At 48.4% G+C, this 19,514-nt stretch overlaps 1 long non-coding RNA gene across 12 annotated transcripts in view, besides 1 other annotated feature; it reads left to right on the top strand.

Annotated features, from left to right (window-relative positions):
- Positions 1-19,514, top strand: part of DIRC3 (disrupted in renal carcinoma 3) — a 506,425-nt gene that overhangs the window by 30,079 nt on the left and 456,832 nt on the right. For 3 of the 12 annotated variants that reach the window (NR_186303.1, NR_186302.1, NR_186295.1), the window contains exons 1-2: positions 3,802-3,897; positions 4,218-4,344. The exons of 4 other annotated variants lie outside the window; for them this stretch is intronic. This is a non-coding gene — a long non-coding RNA (disrupted in renal carcinoma 3). Of the gene's footprint in view, positions 1-3,771; positions 3,898-4,217; positions 4,345-17,857; positions 18,035-19,514 lie in introns of those variants that run through there. 5 more of the 12 variants (NR_186304.1, NR_186299.1, NR_186300.1 and 2 more) reach the window with 3 other exon arrangements.
- Positions 3,549-3,718: a silencer, noted in NCBI's record as "silent region_12308". NCBI's record gives its function as "represses an Ori minimal core promoter by ATAC-STARR-seq in GM12878 lymphoblastoid cells {active_cell/tissue: GM12878}" and the evidence as "EXISTENCE:reporter gene assay evidence [ECO:0000049][PMID:35858748]".

Here is a 19,514-nt window from a genome sequence, read left to right as displayed (position 1 = left end):
CACAGTCCAGTTCCAAGGAAAAATTCCAGCATTTTCTACATTGGCTGCTGCCTTGTCTGAAATCAGCACTTTCCATGGAGGAAGGAAACCTGCTTTGTTGCATCTTCTATTCTCGGGTTTAATGTTGGTAAATGAGTAACTCTAGCATTTGTACAAGGCTCCCTAAGACTCCTGCAGCTGTCGACAAAGCCCAGGGACATAATTGAATCTGGAGATTCCTCAGGCCTTGTTTTGAAAAAGACTTGAAATACACATAGGAAGAAAGGTACAAAAATAAATGTTCACTTGTCTCTGCAAAAAAAAAAATAAAAATAAAAATAAAAAGTACAAAGAGGTATGATTAAAAAGCCAATAGAGAAAATAGAATACCAAAAATTACTCAATTAAGACAGGAAAGGGGAAACAAAAGAATGAAAAATAGAGGGAACAGATAAGAAAACAAGTAGCAAGATGGTAGAATTAAAGCAAACCATGTCAATAATTTAATTAATAAAAGACTAAGCACTCAAAATGCAGAGTTTGTCAGACAATTAAAAAGCAAGACACAGTAAAACACTGTTTAGAAGAGATGCGTGTTAAGTATTAACACACTGACAGAGGTAAGAGAATGAAAAAAGCTATTTATGCAAACATCAAACACAAAAAAGCTGGTATAGCTATATTAATATCTGACAAAATAGACAAGAAGATAAAGATGGTCATGGGTCACAATGGTACAGATTATTTTTTGAACTGAATTGTGTTTTCTCAAAATTAATATGTTGATGTCCTAACCATCAAAGTGTCTGTATTTGGAGATGGAGCCTTTACAAAAGTAATTAAAGTTAAAGGAGGCCATAAGGGTGGGGCCATTAGGACTGGTGTCCATATAAGAGGAGGAAGAGACACCAGAGATCTCTCTCTGCCTACATGGAAGAAATGCCATGTTAAGTGATATGGTCTGGCTGTGTCCCCACCCAAATCTCACCTTGAATTGTTATAATCCCCACATGTCAAAGGTGGGGCCAGGTGGAGATAATTGAATCATGGTGGCGGTTTCCCCATATTTTTCTCATGATAGTGAATAAGTCTTAGGAGATCTGATGGTTTTATTAATTGGAGATTCCCCACACAAGCTCTCTTGCCTGCCGCCACGTTTAAGATGTGACTCTGCTCCTCATTCGTCTTCCACCATGATTGTGTGATTGTGAGGCCTCCCCAGCCATGTGAAACTGTGAGTCCATTAAATCTCTTTCCTTTACAAATTACCCAGTCTCAGGTATGTCTTTATTAGCAATGTGAGAACAGACTAATACATGAAGACACAACAAGGTGGCCATCTATAAGCCAAGGAGAGAAGAGAGGCTTCACCAGAACCAACCCTGTTGCCACATTGATCATGGACTTTCCAGGCTTCAAAACAGTAATGAAGTAAACTTCTGTTGTTTAAGCCACTTGTTCTCTGGCATTTTGTTAGGCAGGCCAAGGTGACTAACCCAGATGGTAAAGGGGTCAATTCCTTGAGAAGAGATATCAATTCTAAATGTGTATGTATTTAATAATAGCACTTCAAGATACATGAAACAAAAAAATGATACAACTACAGGGAGAACTAGACAATCATAGTTGGATGTTGTAATAACTGTCACTGTCACTTAGTAATTGACAGTACTTCTTCAGCTCTGGTCTTAGAAGTGGCTATTTCTACAAGGAGCTCTGGTTTCTTTTAGCACAGAATGGTATTTAGAAACCAAGGAATGTGGTCATTGTTATTAGGGTGTTGCCATCCCTACATCTTCGCAGTAGAGATAGAGAATATATGCCTGTTCTCACTCATAGGTGGGAATTGAACAATGAGAACACATGGACACAGGAAGGGGAACATCACACTCTGGGGACTCTTGTGGGGTAGGGGGAGTGGGGGAGGGATAGCATTAGGAGATATACCTAATGCTAAATGACGAGTTAATGGGTGCAGCACACCAGCATGGCACATGTATACATATGTAACTAACCCGCACATTGTGCACATGTACCCTAAAACTTAAAGTATAATAATAATAAAAAAAAGAGAATATATGTATCTCTACATATATCCTCATATATCTACATATGTAGATATAGATATACATACATACAAGCAAACTATACACACACACATTCCAACTTTATATCTAGAGTCATTTTCTTAGTCAGTCTGGGCTTCTATAACAAGATACCGTAGACTAGGTGGCTTAAACAACAGAAATGCATTTCTTACAATTCTGGAGTCTGGGAAGTCCAAGATCAGGGTGCAGAGTCCATGTCTGGTGAAGGCCCACTTCCTGGTTTGCAGATGACCATCTTCTCACTGTATCCCCACATAGTAGAGACAACAAGCTCTAGTCTCTCTGTCTTATTAAAAGACACAGTCCAATCATGGGGATCTCTACCCTCATAACCTCATCTAAATCTAACTGCCTTCCAAATGCTCAACTTCCTAATATTATGCCGTTGGGGGTTAGGGTTTAAATATATGAATTTGGGAGAGGGATATAAATATGCAGTCCACAATAGTTCTACATACAAACATACAGTCCATATAGTCCTTCATGCATTTATATCTGTATTTTTATACCTCTACATATTGCAAACTGAGCTCACACCAATATCTCTAATTCCACTGGGTTTATTCTTCTTTTCTTTTTTCCATATTTCCTACTCTCATTTCCAGTAATGAGAAACGTGGCTCCTATTATCCCTAGTACAGTTGTCCCTCAGTATCCATGGGGGATTTGTTCCAGAACTCCCTCAGATGCCAAAATCCATGGATGCTCAAATACCTTATGTAAAACGGTATAGTATTTGCATGTAACTTACACACATCCTCCTGTAACCTACACACATCCTCCTGTAACCTCTAGGTTACTTGTAATACAAAACACAATGTAAATGCTACATAAATAATTGTCATACTATATTGTTTAGGAAATAATGACAAGAAAAAAAAGCCTGTACATGTTTGGTACAGTTGTAACCAGCCATTTTTCCCCCAATATTTTCAATCCACAGTTGGTTTAATCCACAGAAACCACGAATGTGGTGGGTGACTGTTTTACCTGTTTTGTTCCATCTCTCTATATGTAAGCAGTCTCCATCACCACAACCCCCCAACTCCCACCCTTTTGCACAGACACTCTCCTCTCCTTGCACGGAACATATTTATACAAAAAACTTTCACATGTATCTGAAATTCAAATTTAACTGGGCATCCTGTATTTTTGTTTGCTAAACCTGTTAGTCCCAGAGGGCCAACCTAACTTCCATGCTCCCGGCCTTCAGGTGACTGTGCTGCAGCCCACGTTCTCTGCCCAGCCCTGGTTGTGTCCCTTCCTTGGAAGAGGTGTTGATCTCTAGAAACCCCCCCCAAAAAACTTTCCTGTTGCTCATCTCCATTTCAATCAGCTTCCAGGAACTAAACTTGCAACATCAAGCCTCTGCTTTATTATTTTCCTGGTTCTAAGATCCCAGAGGTCCCCACCCACACCCGTGTAAGCCCAGTTCCCAGAGCAGCCTCGATCCTGGCCCCAGGGCCTGGGGGTGATTCCAGAGAAGCCCCTTTGAGGGATTACGGGCGCAGGACGCTGGGCCTGCGGGCCTCCCGAGGGCTCCCGCCCACCAGGGGGCAGTCTTCACCTGCGTGTGAGCAGCTCCGGAGGCCCGGGCAGGGGAAGGGGTGGGCGCAGGGATAGCTCGCTGGGGGAACCCATGCGGGGCATACGTGCGTGAGGGCACGTGAGGGCCGTGCCGGCCAGAGCCCAGCGTGCGCGGCCTTGCGTGCGTGCACACGCATATGTGTCCAGGTGCCTACGCAGGTGCCTGACCCTGGGCAAGTCGCTCCGTCATGCGGACCTCAGTTTTCTCATCTGTCCGACGAAGGTATCTTTCCATCTCTGACTGTCGGTGTTCTTTATCCAAGACTGCTCAGCACATTGGGTCCTCTCTTTAGAGCCATCTCTGTTTATTGAACAGAAGAGGCAGGGATTCCAGGCCATTGAATTGATGCGGGGGGTGAGTGGGAGGAGACAGTGAGGCACGGGGGGTTTTTGTCTTTTGCTCCCCAAAGCAATACTCTTTAATTGGTTTCTAAATATTTGTATTTTTATTTTTTACAAAACTGTATTTCAAAATAATGTGAGTCTTTAAGTCCTATGCAAAGCTACCAGAATCCTTGGTCGTGCTTCCCTACTCATTTGCAGGAATCCGGGCAGAACATGAATTCTCAGAACTGGTGGGACTTTCCAACCAGTTGCTTCTCATGCAGAGGCAGAAAAATGAGGGGATCAACAGCCCAGGCCTCAGGGGCACCCTTCTTGGCCCTTACAGGTAATTTAATTGCTGTGCCTCAGAGTCTCTTCTGTAAAATGGGAATGATAATAGTACCCTAAGTGATAGTATTATTATTAAATATTGGCTGAGTGTTCCCAGCTTTGTCATAATACAGCTCTGTGACCTTGGCCCCTCTCTCAGGACCTTTGTTTCCTCATCAATAACGGGGAATGAAGCACTCATTTTGCGTGGTTGTGATGAACAGGTAGGTTGTTTGTGAAATCACCTGGTGGTACCTAGTAGGTATTAAATACCCATTTCTTTCTTGGATAAGTATTGCTTCCCAGTCAACACTTATCTTCCCTGTTGCCCTGGCCTCAGCAAGGTGACAGTGATAAGTCAACTGATCCCTTTCAGCAGAGACCTCTTCAGGACATCTGCCTTAGATGAAGGAGAGTGTAGGTGTTCAGGAAGCTTGGGGGAGATTGATTTACTTCCTGGAGGGCTTTTTGTTAGTCCTGAAATGTCACTATGTGGTTTGCTGCTTCCTCTGCCTGCGGGTGATGGGGTAGGGGTAGAAGGTGGAGGGGGTGCAGGTGTCTTGTTGGGAGCCCCTGGAAGTCACCTCTTTAGAGGGGCCGTCTCTGAGATACGACGATTCATTTTCTGTTATCCTTATATTTTTGTCTCTACTGCCCCCAACTCCCCCCATGTAAACAGCCTGCTCCTTTGAGATCCCTGCTTTGGGAGACTTGCTGCTGCAGGCCAGGGAGTAGGAATTGCTTTCTTTTCTTTTTTCTTCCTTTCTGGGAGCCTGAGTTCTTTGAGATGTGAGTGCCTTTGAGGGAAGAGTCCCGGAGGCAGAGCACCCTTTTCCCTGTCAATGCCCAGGGTGGGCAGGACCTCAGAGTGGGCTGACAGTGTGATGTGTCTGTGACTAGCTTTCTCTGGCACTGTTTGGCACAGAAGCAGCAGAGCCCCTGGGCTCCTGGGTACTGTGTGGCCTTGCATCAGTTATCTCAGTGTAACCAGTGGGGACAAATGGCCAGTGACCACGCATGCACCCCTTCCAGTGATGCTGGTGAGAGAGAGGATGGGCGGGTTCCATTAATGACCAGGACAAAATTTGCTGTCTCAGGTGGGATGGGGGCTCAGAGATGGATTTAACTTGACTTAAATAATTTTTTTGAAAATTATATTTCTCATATACCTGAAATCGTGGAGTTTGATTTATAGTTGCTATTTCTGAATTTTCCTTAGCACCTGCACAGCGTCTTGTATGCAGCAAGCACTCACTAAGCCCTTCTCCTTACCCTGCCAGTCTACCTATTAGACTAGCCCTGGTGTTCAGGACTTAAAGTAATGGGCCAGCTAGGAGCCTCCAGGGCTGGGTCTCTAGACTGCAGGTGCCATGAGATGGGTACTCCCAACAGTCCAGCCTCAGACACATTGCTCTGCTTGACAAAGCTTTGCAATTCCCATGAGTGACAGCACCAAGAGCTACCATGTCTTGAGAGCTTCTGATCTGCTGGCATGGTGTGAAGCCCTTAGCATGGTATCTCATTAGTTTTCACAGCAGCTCTATAAAGTCCAGACTACATTGTCTCTATTTTGCAGATGAGAAAACTGAGGCTTGGAAAGATGGCAGAGCCAGAATACTATCCCAGGTGGTTGGACACCAGAGTCACTCATTTTAAGCACTTAGGACAAGTGACTGATGGACTGACTGAATAAAGAAGGACAGGAATAATAAAGTTGTCAAATTGGGGAATGGCAAGACAGGATGTATTTATTTCCTGCCTTTGGCACCTGTCTTCAGTGACCCTTTCCCTCCCTTTTCCCCTTAGGCCCCACCCAGAGAGGCTGATTTCCAGTCTGTGGGGTCCAAGGGGGATTGAGGGTCCCCTGTCTGTGCCTTCTGGACCCTCTGGGAGCTCTTGGCTCTTGACTCTGGGCTGGGAGGCTGGAGCCCTATTGCCTTTTCTATCAGGGATGGACAGAGACATTCTTTTTCATTTTCTTTCCCCAATGCCATTTTGTTAAATCAGAAATCCTTGAGGAGTGAAGTCACATTTTCCATGCCCCTGAAAGCTCTGGAGAGCTGATGAGTGTTATTGTAACCAGAGGAGACTGGGGACAAAGGAAGCTTATAATTTTGTAAACGAGGCTTGGGAGTGCCCTGCCTGCAATGGCTTTCCAGAGGGAGAGGCAGAATTCGGAAAAACCAGAGGCAAGAAGAATGGCAGGACTGGCCAGCCTTGAGCCTTGCACCCAGGCAGAGACCCTCCTGCCCCCTTCTCCAGTTACTGTTTCCCAGCCTTCCCTGGGGAAGGAAGTTGGCTTGCTGAAGCGGCAAGATCTCTATGCTTAGAATGAAGCACGTGGGGTCACAGTGCCGGCTCATTCACCTCAGTTTCCTCATCTGCAAAATGGGCTGGTGAAGGATCTGCCCCAAAGAGTCTGCACTCAGCCTGGCGATGGGGCTGTGTTTCATAGAGAAGGAAACTGAGGCATGTGTTTTTCAGATAGGAAGTGGCAGAACCGGGATTTAGATCCCGGCAGTCTTACTCCTGAGTGGGAACTCCCACCCCTTGCTCCACAGCGCTTAGGCTCACCAGAGGCCAAATCATGTGAATCAAATGTGACCCGCGTGCTGCCACCTGGGGTCAGCCCTCTTTGCCCCAGCCTGGAGGGACAGAGGCTTCCGCTGGAAGGTTAGGCTCTTAGGTCTCTTCAAACCTTAACATTCTCGGACCTTCTCCTAGTGGCCAGACTCTGTGACCTACTGCGTGGGAGGGAAGCCTGGGAACAGGTGGCCTATTTCAGCCCCTCTCAAATGAGTTCCAAGCAGGTGGCTGTTGCTTCCTCTTGCTGGCCATGGCTTCTCACTAGGCTTGCACAAAAATGGAGAGAAGACCAAATAAAGCTCCTTTGAGGACAAATGTCTTGGACAGGGCTGGGGGTGGGGATCCAAAGATGGACAGAGCCAACCCCCAACCCTTGCAGGGCTCCGAGCCTGCCTGCTTCCAGGCTGCAGGTCTTCTGTGCAGGCTGGGGTTGGGTGTTCAGGGCTGATGGGGGCAGGCATGTGAGTGATTTGGGGAAAAGGGCTGTGTGGAGGGGATTGGGTCGTTCACACTCAGCCTGGGTCTGTCACTGAGCATGCGCTCCCTTCTCCCTACAATCCTGGCCCTAGTTATCCTACTTCTTTAGCCCTGAAGCCCTAAAGCTGCCCCCTCCAGCAGGTGGCCGAGATTTCCCAGGTGGACTCGGGGGTCCTCCTCACTCAGGCCAAGCTGCCCATGAGGAGCTGCCCATGAGGAGCTGCCCATGAGGAGCTGCCCATGAGGAGCTGCCCATGAGGAGCTGCCCATGAGGAGCTGAAGGGTGATGAGGATCTGCCTGTTTCCTCCGTGAGAGTTCCTCTTTCACTGGCGCAGGCATTGCCCTCCTCAACTTGTGAATGGAAACCCATTCCAAGGGGGGTCTGGCTTTGCCCAGGTGGGTTTGAGATCCCCTAACCCAAGCCGCCTTCATCTCCCCTCCAAAAGCACAGGCTCACTCACAAAGCTCATCTCAGCAGGTTCTCCTCACAACCATGGCTACACTCCTCTCCCTGCTGCCTTCTCTCTGTGTGTATGTCTCAGTGTCTCTGTGTCTCAGAGTCTCTGTCTCTCAGTGTCTCTGTATCTCAGTGTCCCTGGCTCTCAGTGTCTCTGTCTCTCCGTGTCTCTGTGTCTCAGTGTCCCTGGGTCTCAGTGTCTCTCTCATGTTGTCTCTGTCTCTCAGTGTTTCTGTGTCTCAGTGTTTCTGTCTCTCAGTGTTTCTGTCTCTCAGTGTCTCTCTCATGTCTCTGTCTCTCAGTGTCTCTCTCTGTCTCAGTCTCTGTTCCTCTCAGTCTCCCTCTCAGCATGTCTCTGTATGTGTCTCTCAGTGTCTCTCTGCATCACTCTCTGTGTCTCTCTCTCTATGTCTGTGTGTCTCTCTTGATGTGTGTCTCTCTTGCTCTGTTTCTCTCTCGGTCTCTCTCTCTCTCTTCCCCTCCCCTCCCTCTCTAATTTCATGGGACTTGTCTCAGTGTGAGGAAAGCATCTAATTAGTCTTAGAGGTCCTCCTGTCCAGAATTTCTAAAGCCGTGCTCATGACAAATGTCCCAGGCTTGAACGGGACATTTGAGAAACTCTGGGCCAAGAGGAGCAGCACAGAGCCACCCAGAGGATGGCTCTATAAAATGGGGTTACAATAGTGCCTTACCCAGAGGATTTGAGATAAACCACTTAGAACAGAATTCATGTGTGGAGGCCAATACAAAACATCACCAAAGTTAAGCTGCTTTCCCTCTCCTCTTCACTGTAGGGTGCTCAAAGCCTCTACTATGCTAAGGAGAACAGAGAGCTCCAAGAGGGTTGGTAGAGTTGCAGCATTTCCCAGGATTATTTGTCCAGTGAAACCTCTTGCCATGGAGCATCTAGTGGGGTCAGAGTTCCTCAAATCATAGTTGGGAAATATTGCTAATCCAAGCCCCTTATTACAAAGGGAAGTGGAAGCCTCCCTCCCCAAGTCCCTAGAGCCAACTGGGGCACACGGTCAGGAGGCTGGGCTCCTGCTGGGGGAGCAGCTGAACTTGGCTCCAGGATAGCACCCACGGGCCTCCTGTGGTGCTCCCAGGAGCCTTGGCAGTGTCCCTCTAGGGAGTGTCAAAAGCCCTGGGAGGCATGGGGTGTGCGCACCTTGTAAAAATGACCCTGCTGTGGATGCCGGGGCTTGCGCCCACAAAGATGGGTTGCCAGAAGCCCGTGAGAGTGGATGTTGGGGGAAGGGGTGGCTAGACCCTCCCTTCCTTGTGTTTCTGTAGGTGAATCCTCTCGGCTTCAGGGAAGGACTGATAGGGCTCTCAGAATTATGTACCCTCCTGGCCCCCAGTCTGGAATCTGGAAGCTGGACTCTCTCCCTCCTAGGTCTGTATCGTAATCTTTTTGGTGTTGATCTGTAGGAAAGATGATGCCTGCTCCCCACCCCCTCTTAAATTCCTCTTCAGCCTTCTTTGGAAGGTCCTGGTAATACTCTAGCTGCCATCACCTCAGTTGTAACTTCTGAATACCATTAACCCCCTCTCCTGGCAGCTATGACCTGGTTAGAGTCTTATTAGGTTCCCAAGGGTAATGAGGTTATCACCATTTTTTTGCCCCTTTTCTTCTCCCAGAATAGCGGGTCTTCTAAAGATGCTGTTCTCGGCTGGGCGCGGTGGCTCACGCCTGTAATCCCAGCACTTTGGGAGGCCGAGATGGGCGGATCATGAGGTTAGGAGATCGAGACCATCCTGGCTAACACAGTGAAACCCCGTCTCTACTAAAAATACAAAAAATTGGCCGGGCGTGGTGGTGGGCGCCTGTAGTCCCAGCTACTCGGGAGGCTGAGGCAGGAGCATGGTGTGAACCTGGGAGGCGGAGCTTGCAGTGAGCCGAGATCGCACCACTGCACTCCAGCCTGGGACAGAGCGAGACTCCGTCTCAGAAAAAAAAAAAAAAAAAAAAAAGTTGCTGTTCTCTTCTTTGCTGCTGCTGCTTTTTCTTCTACTACTACTACTACTACTTTTCTTCTTCTTCTTCTTCTTCTTCTTCTTCTTCTTCTTCTTCTTCTTCTTCTTCTTCTTCTTCTCCTCCTTCTTCTTCTTCCTCCTCCTCCTCTTCCTCCTTCTCCTCTTCCTCTTCTTTTTCTTTCTCCTCCTCCCCCCCTCTTCTTCCTCCTCCTCCTCCTTCTCCTCCTTCTCTTCTTCTTTCTTCTCTCTTCTTGACAGAGTCTTGTTCTGTCGCTTAGGCTGGAGTACAATGGCATGATCATAGCTCACTGCAGCCTCAAACTCCTGACCTCTAATGATCCTCCTGCCTTGACCTCCCAAATTGCTGGGATTACAGGTGTGAGCTACTGCCTTCTTAGCTTCTGTTTCTGGGTCACTATAGCTTAGAGCTGGTTTGCTTCAGAACTAGCCCCTGTTGTTGACTTCAAAACTCTTCTAACCAGGGAAAAAGAAACCTGGTGAGGGAGGATATAATTCTCCTATAGTCCATCTTCCAAAGGGGTGGAGTTCCACTGCCCCAGTGTCAGATATCCACTTAGATTTCTGTAGCAGCCCTTCTTTGTCTTGACCAAATGTGCTGACTTGCAGGGTGCTCTCTGTGCCTGACTGGGAGAGCGACTCCCTTCTCATCGCAGCCTGTCCTCTTCACTCACGTGGGGTCTCAGCCCAATGGAGAGGGTGGCTGGGTGCTAGTGATAGCCCAAAATTAGGTCTGGAGGGCCCCCAGCATAATGAAGGGGCCTAAGAATGCCCAGACTCTGGTGAAGCTGGCAGGTAGGGCAGGCTGGTACGAGCCTCCACTCACCTGTGAGCTGGTATCTGCCTAGTTGCTTGGTCTAGGAGAATGGATGACTCTCATTTTGAGTGCTTTTTGGGGGCAAAAGAAGGGAGGTAGGCTATTTCTTATTGTCTATGCCAGGGCCATAGGAACCTGAGGGGCCAGGCCATACAGAATAGTTCCTTGTATGGGAGGTAAGAGGCAATGGTACCATGGCATTGCAGGTCCCTGTCCCTGTCCCACCTTCAGAGCCCTTGGGAGTTCTTTGGCTGCTCTGTGACTCAGGGGTCCTGAAGGCCCAGGCTGGCTCTGCCCCATGTTCTGGGTGGTTATGCACCAGAACCACCGCACATATGTCAGATCTGCTCCTATGGCAAGGGCCAGGCCTTTGCCCTGTGGAGGCTGCAGGGCACACACAGTCCTGTTTACCACCCATATGTCCTTTCCGGAGTGGATGCCAGCAGCCTGCGGAGGCTGTGGGATCTCACTGGAAAGCCAGGGCTGGGTCCAGGAAAGTTGATTTTCCTCTCCTGAGATGCCTGCATGGGCCTCAGGCCAAGCTCTGCTGAGGGCTGGCGACTGACTGGGAAATGTTCAGCTCCCCTGTCATTGTGGACTCCAGTGGCAGCCTCTGGGGAGGAGAAAATCTGCATGGAGGGCAGTGCAGGCTCGCCTTGCTGATGAGACAGAACAAAAGGGAGGGGGGTGGGTTACTGGAGAGGGGACAGAGGATGTTCCTCAGGGGTAAAAGTGCTGACTAGTGAATCTGACCCAGGAAGAGGAGGAGGCAGCAGGAAGGGGGAAGGAAAAGCAGTGGAGATATTGGAGGAGCCAAAGGGGGCACAATTGTTCCTCCCCCGAAGGGGAAACCATGGGGAGCAACAGCTGGAACAGGAGTGGAGCTTGGAGGGAGACAATAATGGAGCTCGATGCTTTGAGATTCAAGATGGCAGTACCAGAAAGGTTGACTCCACTTGGTAAGTGGAGAGGCCTCAGGACAGGCAGAGGAAATTCTCTTTTTGGAGTTTGACTCCATGTCTTGTGGGCTTTCACTGAAGTGCAAACCCATGAGGGCAGAGATTCCTCTCTGTTTTGTTCATTGCTTCAACCCCAGTGCATAAAATAGAAGCCAGCACAGATTAGATTCTTAAAAAAAAGTTTGTTGAATGATAAATAGTTTGAACACAGGGATATAAGAAAAGGAACATTATATCTTAGGGCAAGAGCTAAAAGTCTCTTTCAGATCTACTCTGGGGCCCTAGAAATGCTTGACAAGGAGTAGTTTGGGGAATATTTAGGATCATCCCACTGCAGGGAGCAAACTGAGGGAGACTTTTAACTAGGGGAGAGGCAGGCAAGGTAGACTGTGCTGGGGGTGATCCAGGCCAGAAGACAAGGGATAGGAGGTCTTGGCCAAGGTGAGTGGATAGAGGAACAGGGTATGGAGTCAGGTGTCACACCGGGTGGGCTTAGCCTGCCTTCTGAGGCTCTGGAGAAGGTGATCTTCAGGAGTTTAGGTGGCCCGGGGATGTCTGTACCCCAGCAGCAGGGCCTCAGAGCAAATCAGGAACAAGAGCAAGACAAGGGGGCTGGGCATTTGGAGTTGGGTCTCAAAGCAGATTACCAAGACAGGGCCTCAGGATGGGCCCAAGGCAGGAGGAGGCCAGTGACCATGCACGTAGGCCTCGGGGCCTCAGGGCTGCAAGGCCAAAGGGAGCTGTGTCCCAAGGTGGGGGATGAAACTCCTTTCTTTGGCTTCCTGTAAGGATTCACACTGGGATTTGTGACCTGGTGAGCTGCAGGTGGAGGTCTGGGGGACCTGTGACTCTATGGTAGGAACAGGAGAGCCTCAGACATTGGGAAGCAGACAGGGTCCTCACATTGGGCACATCAGCAGCAGGCATGGCGTGAACAGACACAAAATAAAGAAGTTAGCTGAGTGGACAAGAAAGGCCAAGGAGGGTGACCGTGGAGGTCACAGGCAAAACGGAGGCCTTTGTGTGATGTGAGAAGCAGGCTCTCTTTTCTCTGTGGGACAGACTTGGATTTCTGTGCTCAGCGCAGAACCAGTGCACAATCTTTCCAGGGATGAATAGTCCTTTCTGTGTGACAGAGAGTGCCACCTGCATCAGAGAGTGGCTGGGGAAAGAGATGAAAGAAAGAGGTGACTTGGAGATAATTGCAGACATGGAGTATTGAACACTTGCAGGAGGAAGCAGGCAGATGTCGTGTTATACTAGGAAAAGAAAGTAAATTTCCTAAGGCCACAAGCATGTTGGTGGCACAGCTGGTCAAGACTTAGGTGGGATGTGCTCTCTGCCACCCCCCACTGCCTCCCAGGGGCCCACGCAGAAGTTTGGAGAAAAAGAGTCCCTGAAAGGTGGCTGAAGTCAGTGAATAAATAAATTAATGGAAAGGGAATGTGTTTTCTGACCCCGATTTCAGGGAGGGCAGCTGGGGAGAAGGCCAGGGGTTTGTACTCAGGAAATGCAGCCTCCAGAAGCCGGGCAAATCTGAGCCTTTCCCCGGCATCTGAGGAAGCCATGGATAAAGTCATCCATCATTTTCTCAGTGGTGTGGAGAGCTCTGGCAGTCCCAGAGTGAGGCAGGAAGCCCCACTTCATGGCACTTCCAGAGGGGTCTGATATTTGTTTATGCGAGACATGGTCCAGCTAAGAGTGACTTGATGATTCAGCATCTCCAGGGTGGGTGAGGTGGGAGGAGGCCAGCCTGGAGGGTGGGTCCTTTTCTGTTGGCCAGTCCCTGACTCTTGGAACTCTCCCTGCAATATCTGAGAGAGCAGGAGCACTTAATTATTCATTCCACAAACACTTCCTGGAAACTGACCTTGTGCCACGCATGGGCTAGGAGCTGAGCAAAGAATGGTGAGCAATGGCAGGTGTGGTCTCTGCTCATGTGGAGCTTTGTGTCCAGTGGGAGAGAGAGGGTTACTCAAATAATCACAGACTGGGATGTGCGTTCTAAGGAGATTTTGAAGTCAGGGAGGATTTCTTTGCACAATAACACCTGTGTTGAGATAGGAAAGGCGATTAGACTCTTTCTAGGTGAGGTAAGGTGGTGTGAGGGAAGACATGAGTTTTCCTCTAGGGGAGCAGCATGGGCTAAGGCCCTGTGGCAGATAGAAGCATGGTGTGTTTGACAAAAATCTGAAGAGCAGGGAGACTTATCAGGAGGTGGCTGGATACTTGGGCCAAGGGCCCAGGTTGTGCGGAGTGAGAGGAAGGCTTTATCTTCATCCTAAGGAGCAATGGGAAACCTTTGAGGGCTTTTAAACGATGGTAGTGGAGGGTGGATGTTTAACATAATTAAATATGCACTTTGCAAAGCTCCCTTTGGCTGCTCTATGGACAACATATTTGAGAACAGAGTGGATTTAAGGAGACCAAATAGGAGGCTGTGTAAGTCATCTAGGTGAAGGATGACAATTGCTGAGACCTGTGCAGATGGACAGAGGTGCAAATTTGAGAAATACGATAGCAAGTATTTATTTAGTATTTACTATGTGCCAGGCACTGTCCTGTGGGTTTTACATGGTGTATTTAATCCTCACAATATGGTAGATACTATTCTCCTCATTTAAAGATGAGGAAACAGGCATGTGGAGGTTTAGTAATTGGTTGAGCCAGGGTTCAGTCTGGGAGCCCATATTCTTTTTAAAATTTATTTATAAATTTCTTTTAGTAGAGACAGGGTCTCACTATGTTGCCCAGGCTGGTCTTGAACTCCTGGTCTCAAGCAGTCCTCCTGCCTTGACCTCTCAAAGTGCTGAGATTACAGGTGTGAGTCACTGCACCCGGCCAGGAAGCCCATACTCTTAACCATCATCTTTGCTACCTAGTGGCTAGGATGTTAGGAGATGAGAATGAGAGGACTTGGTGGTTGATTAGACTTGAGGGGTGTAAGCATGAGAAAAGAGATGGCCTAGGCTCCTGGCTACCTTAAGTGGGTATTGTTTACTGTAATAGGCACCAGCTGAATGAGACTGGGTTTGGGGGAGGAGTTCATAAGTCTGCCCTTGGACAGTGTAGTGGTTTTAAAATAGTCCACAAATTCTTTGATACTCCTCCATTTAAGAGGTGGAGCTTGATTCCTCTCCCCTTCATTGTGGGCTGGATTCAGTAACTTGCTTCTAATAAATGAATTATGGTAATAGTGATCACGTCTGGTTTTCAAGGCAGGTCATAAAAAGCACTGTGGCTTCCATGTTGGTTACTCTCCCTTGGAACACTCACTATAGGGGAAATCAGTTGCCACATTGTGAGAGGGCCATGTGGCAAGGACCTGAGGCCTCCTGCCACCAGCCAGCACCAACTTGCCAGTATGAGAGTGGGGTGAGCCCTCTTGGAAGCAGATCCTCAAGCCCCAGTCAAGCCTTCAGATGATACAGCCCTAGCTAACATCTTGACTGCGCCCTGTGAGAGAACTTGGGCCAGAACCGCTGGCTAAGCTGCTCCTAGATTACCGATCCTAAGAAATTGTGTGAGATGAGAAGTGTTTGCTGCTAAATTTGGTTATAAGTTGTTATACAGCAGTAGATAACTAATACAGACAACCAAGGGTAGGTGTTGGGTAGGCATTTGTTGTGACTTGGAATTATAATTTGGAAGTTGACAGCATTTCAGTGGTGGCTGAGCATGTAGAAGAGAGTGCAGGCCCACATCGGGATTTGAGAAGTTTTGTCCTTAAGTGGCTCTGTAGAGAAGGATGAAGGCCCTGAAGGGGACTGGGAAATTGGATGGTTTGCAAGTTGGGCTCCGTGTTGACTTTGGTCCTGTGGAGGGGCCTCAGGGGGTGGATGGAAATTTGATGAGAATCTAGCCCTGCCAAGTTTCTACTCTGATTCATCTGGAGTGGCCCTCCTTTTTCTCTTTTTAGCAAGGGGTCTAGTAAGATTCACCGGGAAAAAGCAAGGATCTGATGCTGAAATATTGGAAACTACTAATCTAGTGCAACCACTACTTTTACAAATGTGGAAACCGACTTGCCCAAGGGCAGGCAGCTTTGGACACAGGTCTCCTGGGTCTAGTGTTCTTCCCACTGGGCCTCCTTGCCTCCAGCACCTTCCAGTGGGTCTGGGGGAAGAGAATTAGGGACTGTGCAGAGGACAAGATGGGGTTCCTGCCTTTGACATTCTGTCCCCCCAACCAGGCACACACTGGGGAACAATGACACCCCTCCATGCTCCGCGTGGTGCCTTCTTCTCGAACAAGGCAGGACATGAGCTCATTCCTGGCTCTGCTAGGCATGTGGCTTACCAAGACCGGTCTTCTCTAGACTTCAGTTTCCTTATCTGTAAAATGGGAATGAGGATTCATCCTTCTTCACCAGGCTGCTGTGAGGGCCAAATGAGGTCCTAGTAGGCCAGAGGACTTTTCACCAGTGAAGTGCAGTGTAGTTGGAACAGGTAGGTCACTGCTGGCCAGGGAATCTCAACCTCTTCAGGCTGCCTCAGGCAGAGTGGGGCCCTTGGGGCCCTGGAGACCTGGCAGTCCCCACATGGTGTGAATCTTTTGCTAGAGCAAATCCAGGCCAGCTGCTCTGAATGTTGGTGCTGCCAAACTTTCAATAACCTGGGACCCTTGCCAGTCAGGATGTTCTCCCTGGGTCTGATTTGCAGTGCAAATTGACTCTTAGCTGTTCCAAATTCTCTTGGCTCTCGAGTACCCATCCTCAGGCCCCAGTACTCATCCTCTAGTCCCATCCCCCATTCTGTAACTCTGTCCCCCCAGTTATCTCCTCATCTAATTTGGAATTATCAGTGGTAGAAATCAAATAGTGTACCCCCATTGTTTATATGGGAGACTCAGCGGGGTCCAGGAAAGTGACGTTATTTGTTCACAATTACACTGTCCTTTACCATTTTTTCTTTGATGAGTTCCTTTGAATGATGCCTGTGATCTGCAGCTTTCCACTTAATTTTCCTGTTTTTGGGCCCCGGCCCCTAATCCACCTACTCTTCCCTGACTACCCAGCTGATGACAATGGGACCATTGCTTTCATCTTTACCTACCTGCACCACCTCTGGTGGCTGACTTATACAATCCCTTGGCTGTCAAACCCAGTCTGGTCTTATGGCTGTGCTTCCAGAGTTTCTCCTCCTCTGGTCCTCTGAGGGTGAGCAAGCAGCTCTTAGAAGAGGAGACAGGAAGCCCCTGACTCTGGGCACCTCACTCCCCAGCCCTCCCCGTCTCTCCCACTCTCTCAAGCCTCCAGGCTGTTTCTGAGGTTTGGAATCAGTAGAGAGTTTTCCCCTGACCCTATATTTTATTCTCCCACTTCTCTTTACTTGAACCCATTTGTAAGCAAAAAACCATTTGGGGTGTTGTGTTTATTTTTTCCTTGTTCCACGGGAAATTACTCAGAATGTATAAGTATGTGTTTTCCTTAGAAAATAGATTCCTTTACATTTTGGCTTTGTGGTTCCCAAAGCAAGTGGACCCGCAGAGACCTAGGCTGCCAAGAGGGCTTCCCATCCGGGAGCCCTCTTGGCTTCAGAATTACACCCTTTCTCCTCTCAGGACCAGTCACCCCCTCCAGCCCCTTTTGGGGCCCACAGCTTCTTAAACCCCACAAGACTTCAGCCAGAGTGGGCCTGACATCTCTCAGGAAGACCAATTCTTCCTGAATCTTTACTTTCAATTCCTCTTTCTCTCTGCTGGTGGAAGACACTGTGATGGATCATGGCATGAGAACATTTCCCCTCCTCCACCCTCCGGGGCTGGAGTTAAACATAGACTTGAAGTTCTAAGTTCGAATCCTGGCTCTGCCTCTTGCTGGCTGGTGACTTGAGCAGTCGACTTCATCTCTTTGTGCCCTGTTTTCCTCTCCTGTAAAATACGGCCATTGACAGTATTTGTGCAGAAGGCCATTGGGAGGGTTAAGAGAATTAATGGGTGTAAGGTGGTTAGGACATTGTCTGGCATGGAATAAGTCTCATCTTATGTTTTCTTTTGTTCCTATGCATGTGCTTCTCCCTGATATGTACTCATTTTAGTTTTAGCCTTAGTTACAGCCCATTCCCAGTAAGGTGCAAAGGCAGGTGGAGACAGGATGGGGTCAGTGTGGCTTCTTCTCATCACCTTCCCCCAAGTTGAGGGATCTCAGTGCTCTTTTCCTTGGCTTGGCCCCTAACCCAGAGCTCCTTTCCCTCCCTTCCAAAAATCGCCTTTCTGTTTGCTCACCCGTGTTCGTAGCAGCATAATTCACCAGAGCCAAAAGGTGGAAGCAGCCCAACTGTCCATCAATGGATGAATGACTCAACAAAACGTGGCATTTCCATGCAAATAGAATATTATCCAGCCTCAAAAAGGAAGGAAATTCTGATCTCTGCTCCAACATGGATGGACCTTGAAGACATTATGCTAAATGAAGTAAGCTGAACACAAAAGGACAAATATTATATGATTCCACATGTAGGAGGTATCCAGAGTTGTCAAATTCAGAGACAGAAAATAGAACAGTGACTATTGGGCCTAGGAGGAGGGGGAGGATGGGAGGCTGTTATCTAATGGGTAGAAAGTTTCATTTTGAGATAATTAGAACATTTCTGGAAAAGGAGGATGGTGATGGTTGTACAACAATGTAAATGTCCTTAATGCCACTGAACTGTACACTTAAAAATGGCTAACATGGGAAATGTAATGTTATATATATTTACCAGAATATAAAGGACAGAAGTAAATAAAAATATATCAATAATAAAAAAATCCATTTTGCCTCTTGAGACTCTGAGAGGGGTACTCATAGTACAGTATTCATGCCCTGTGGGGGGTATGAGGGTGAATCAGTCTTCCAGGGATTGGGCTTGCCGGTGAACTCCTAATTGGCCCACCTTATTGCTTTCAACCCTTGAGGGAAGCTCTTTCCTGGGCATCCTCCCTGGGGGATCCTCAAGTTCACGGGGTCACAGCCTTGACAGGGAGCAGCCTCCATGTTACAGAGATATCTCCTATACTGTCCTGGAGCCGGGGACTGGCTACTGGTCGTGGGTGTGTGGCTGGGTCCCCCAGCACTTCACTTGCTGTCAATGCATGCATGTGCATTCATCTAGGATTAATTAGGCACCACTGTGTGCCAGGTAGAGTGCCAGGCTCTGGGATACAGAGCCAGCTGGTGCCCTGCTTCAATGGGCTTTTGTTCTAGTGGTCAATGGTCCATTTTGAGCACCAGGCTCTGAGCCATTATTTCATTTCACTCTGACAGCCACCTAGCAGGTGCTGTTGGACTCTCAGCCTTCTTTGGAGCAGCATTCTTTCTGTGGTGAAATGCCTAGGTCCATTTGGAGACGCGAATGGGAGGTTTGGTGGTCCCAGTAAGAAGAGATTTCTCTCCAGTCTCTATCTGTCCCACTTGCTTGAAAGACTGAGTCATTCGAGGGCCTCCTCTGGGGCTAGCAAGGGACCCCGTAGGTGCCTTGGTACCTCTTCCTGCAGCCCCCAGTGGCCCCCATAGCAGGCCAGGCATAGTCAAACCCCTGGGAAAGCCCAGCTCAGAGCCATCAGTGATATCTCTGAGAGAAGTGATGAGTGTCTAGTCACAGAGCGAAAAGGGCAGAGACTACATTACCAAGGCCCTAGGTATAGAAGACCAGTGCCCTCCTGCCAGGGCTGTGCATATGCCCAGAGCTGCAGCAGCCTTTGGGGGGAAATTGCAGATTAGACCAGGCATGGTGCTGGGCCTCCACGAGACAGCTGTGCGGAAGCTGTGATGCCCTTCTCTTGCCTAATTCCACCCTTCTGTTTTCACTTGCTGTGCGTCCTGCTAAATTCCCTTCTCAGGCTAAAAGTTTCCATCTCTGGGCTTGGCCCCAAAGTGAAATTCTCTGGAAACTTTCAGCTGAGTTCACTTAGC

This window comes from Homo sapiens, chromosome 2, assembly GCF_000001405.40.
Source record: "Homo sapiens chromosome 2, GRCh38.p14 Primary Assembly".
In the NCBI taxonomy this organism is placed as follows: domain Eukaryota; kingdom Metazoa; phylum Chordata; class Mammalia; order Primates; family Hominidae; genus Homo; species Homo sapiens.
The sequence above is the reverse complement of the archived record's forward strand: the minus strand, read 5'-3'. Positions and strand labels throughout refer to the sequence as shown.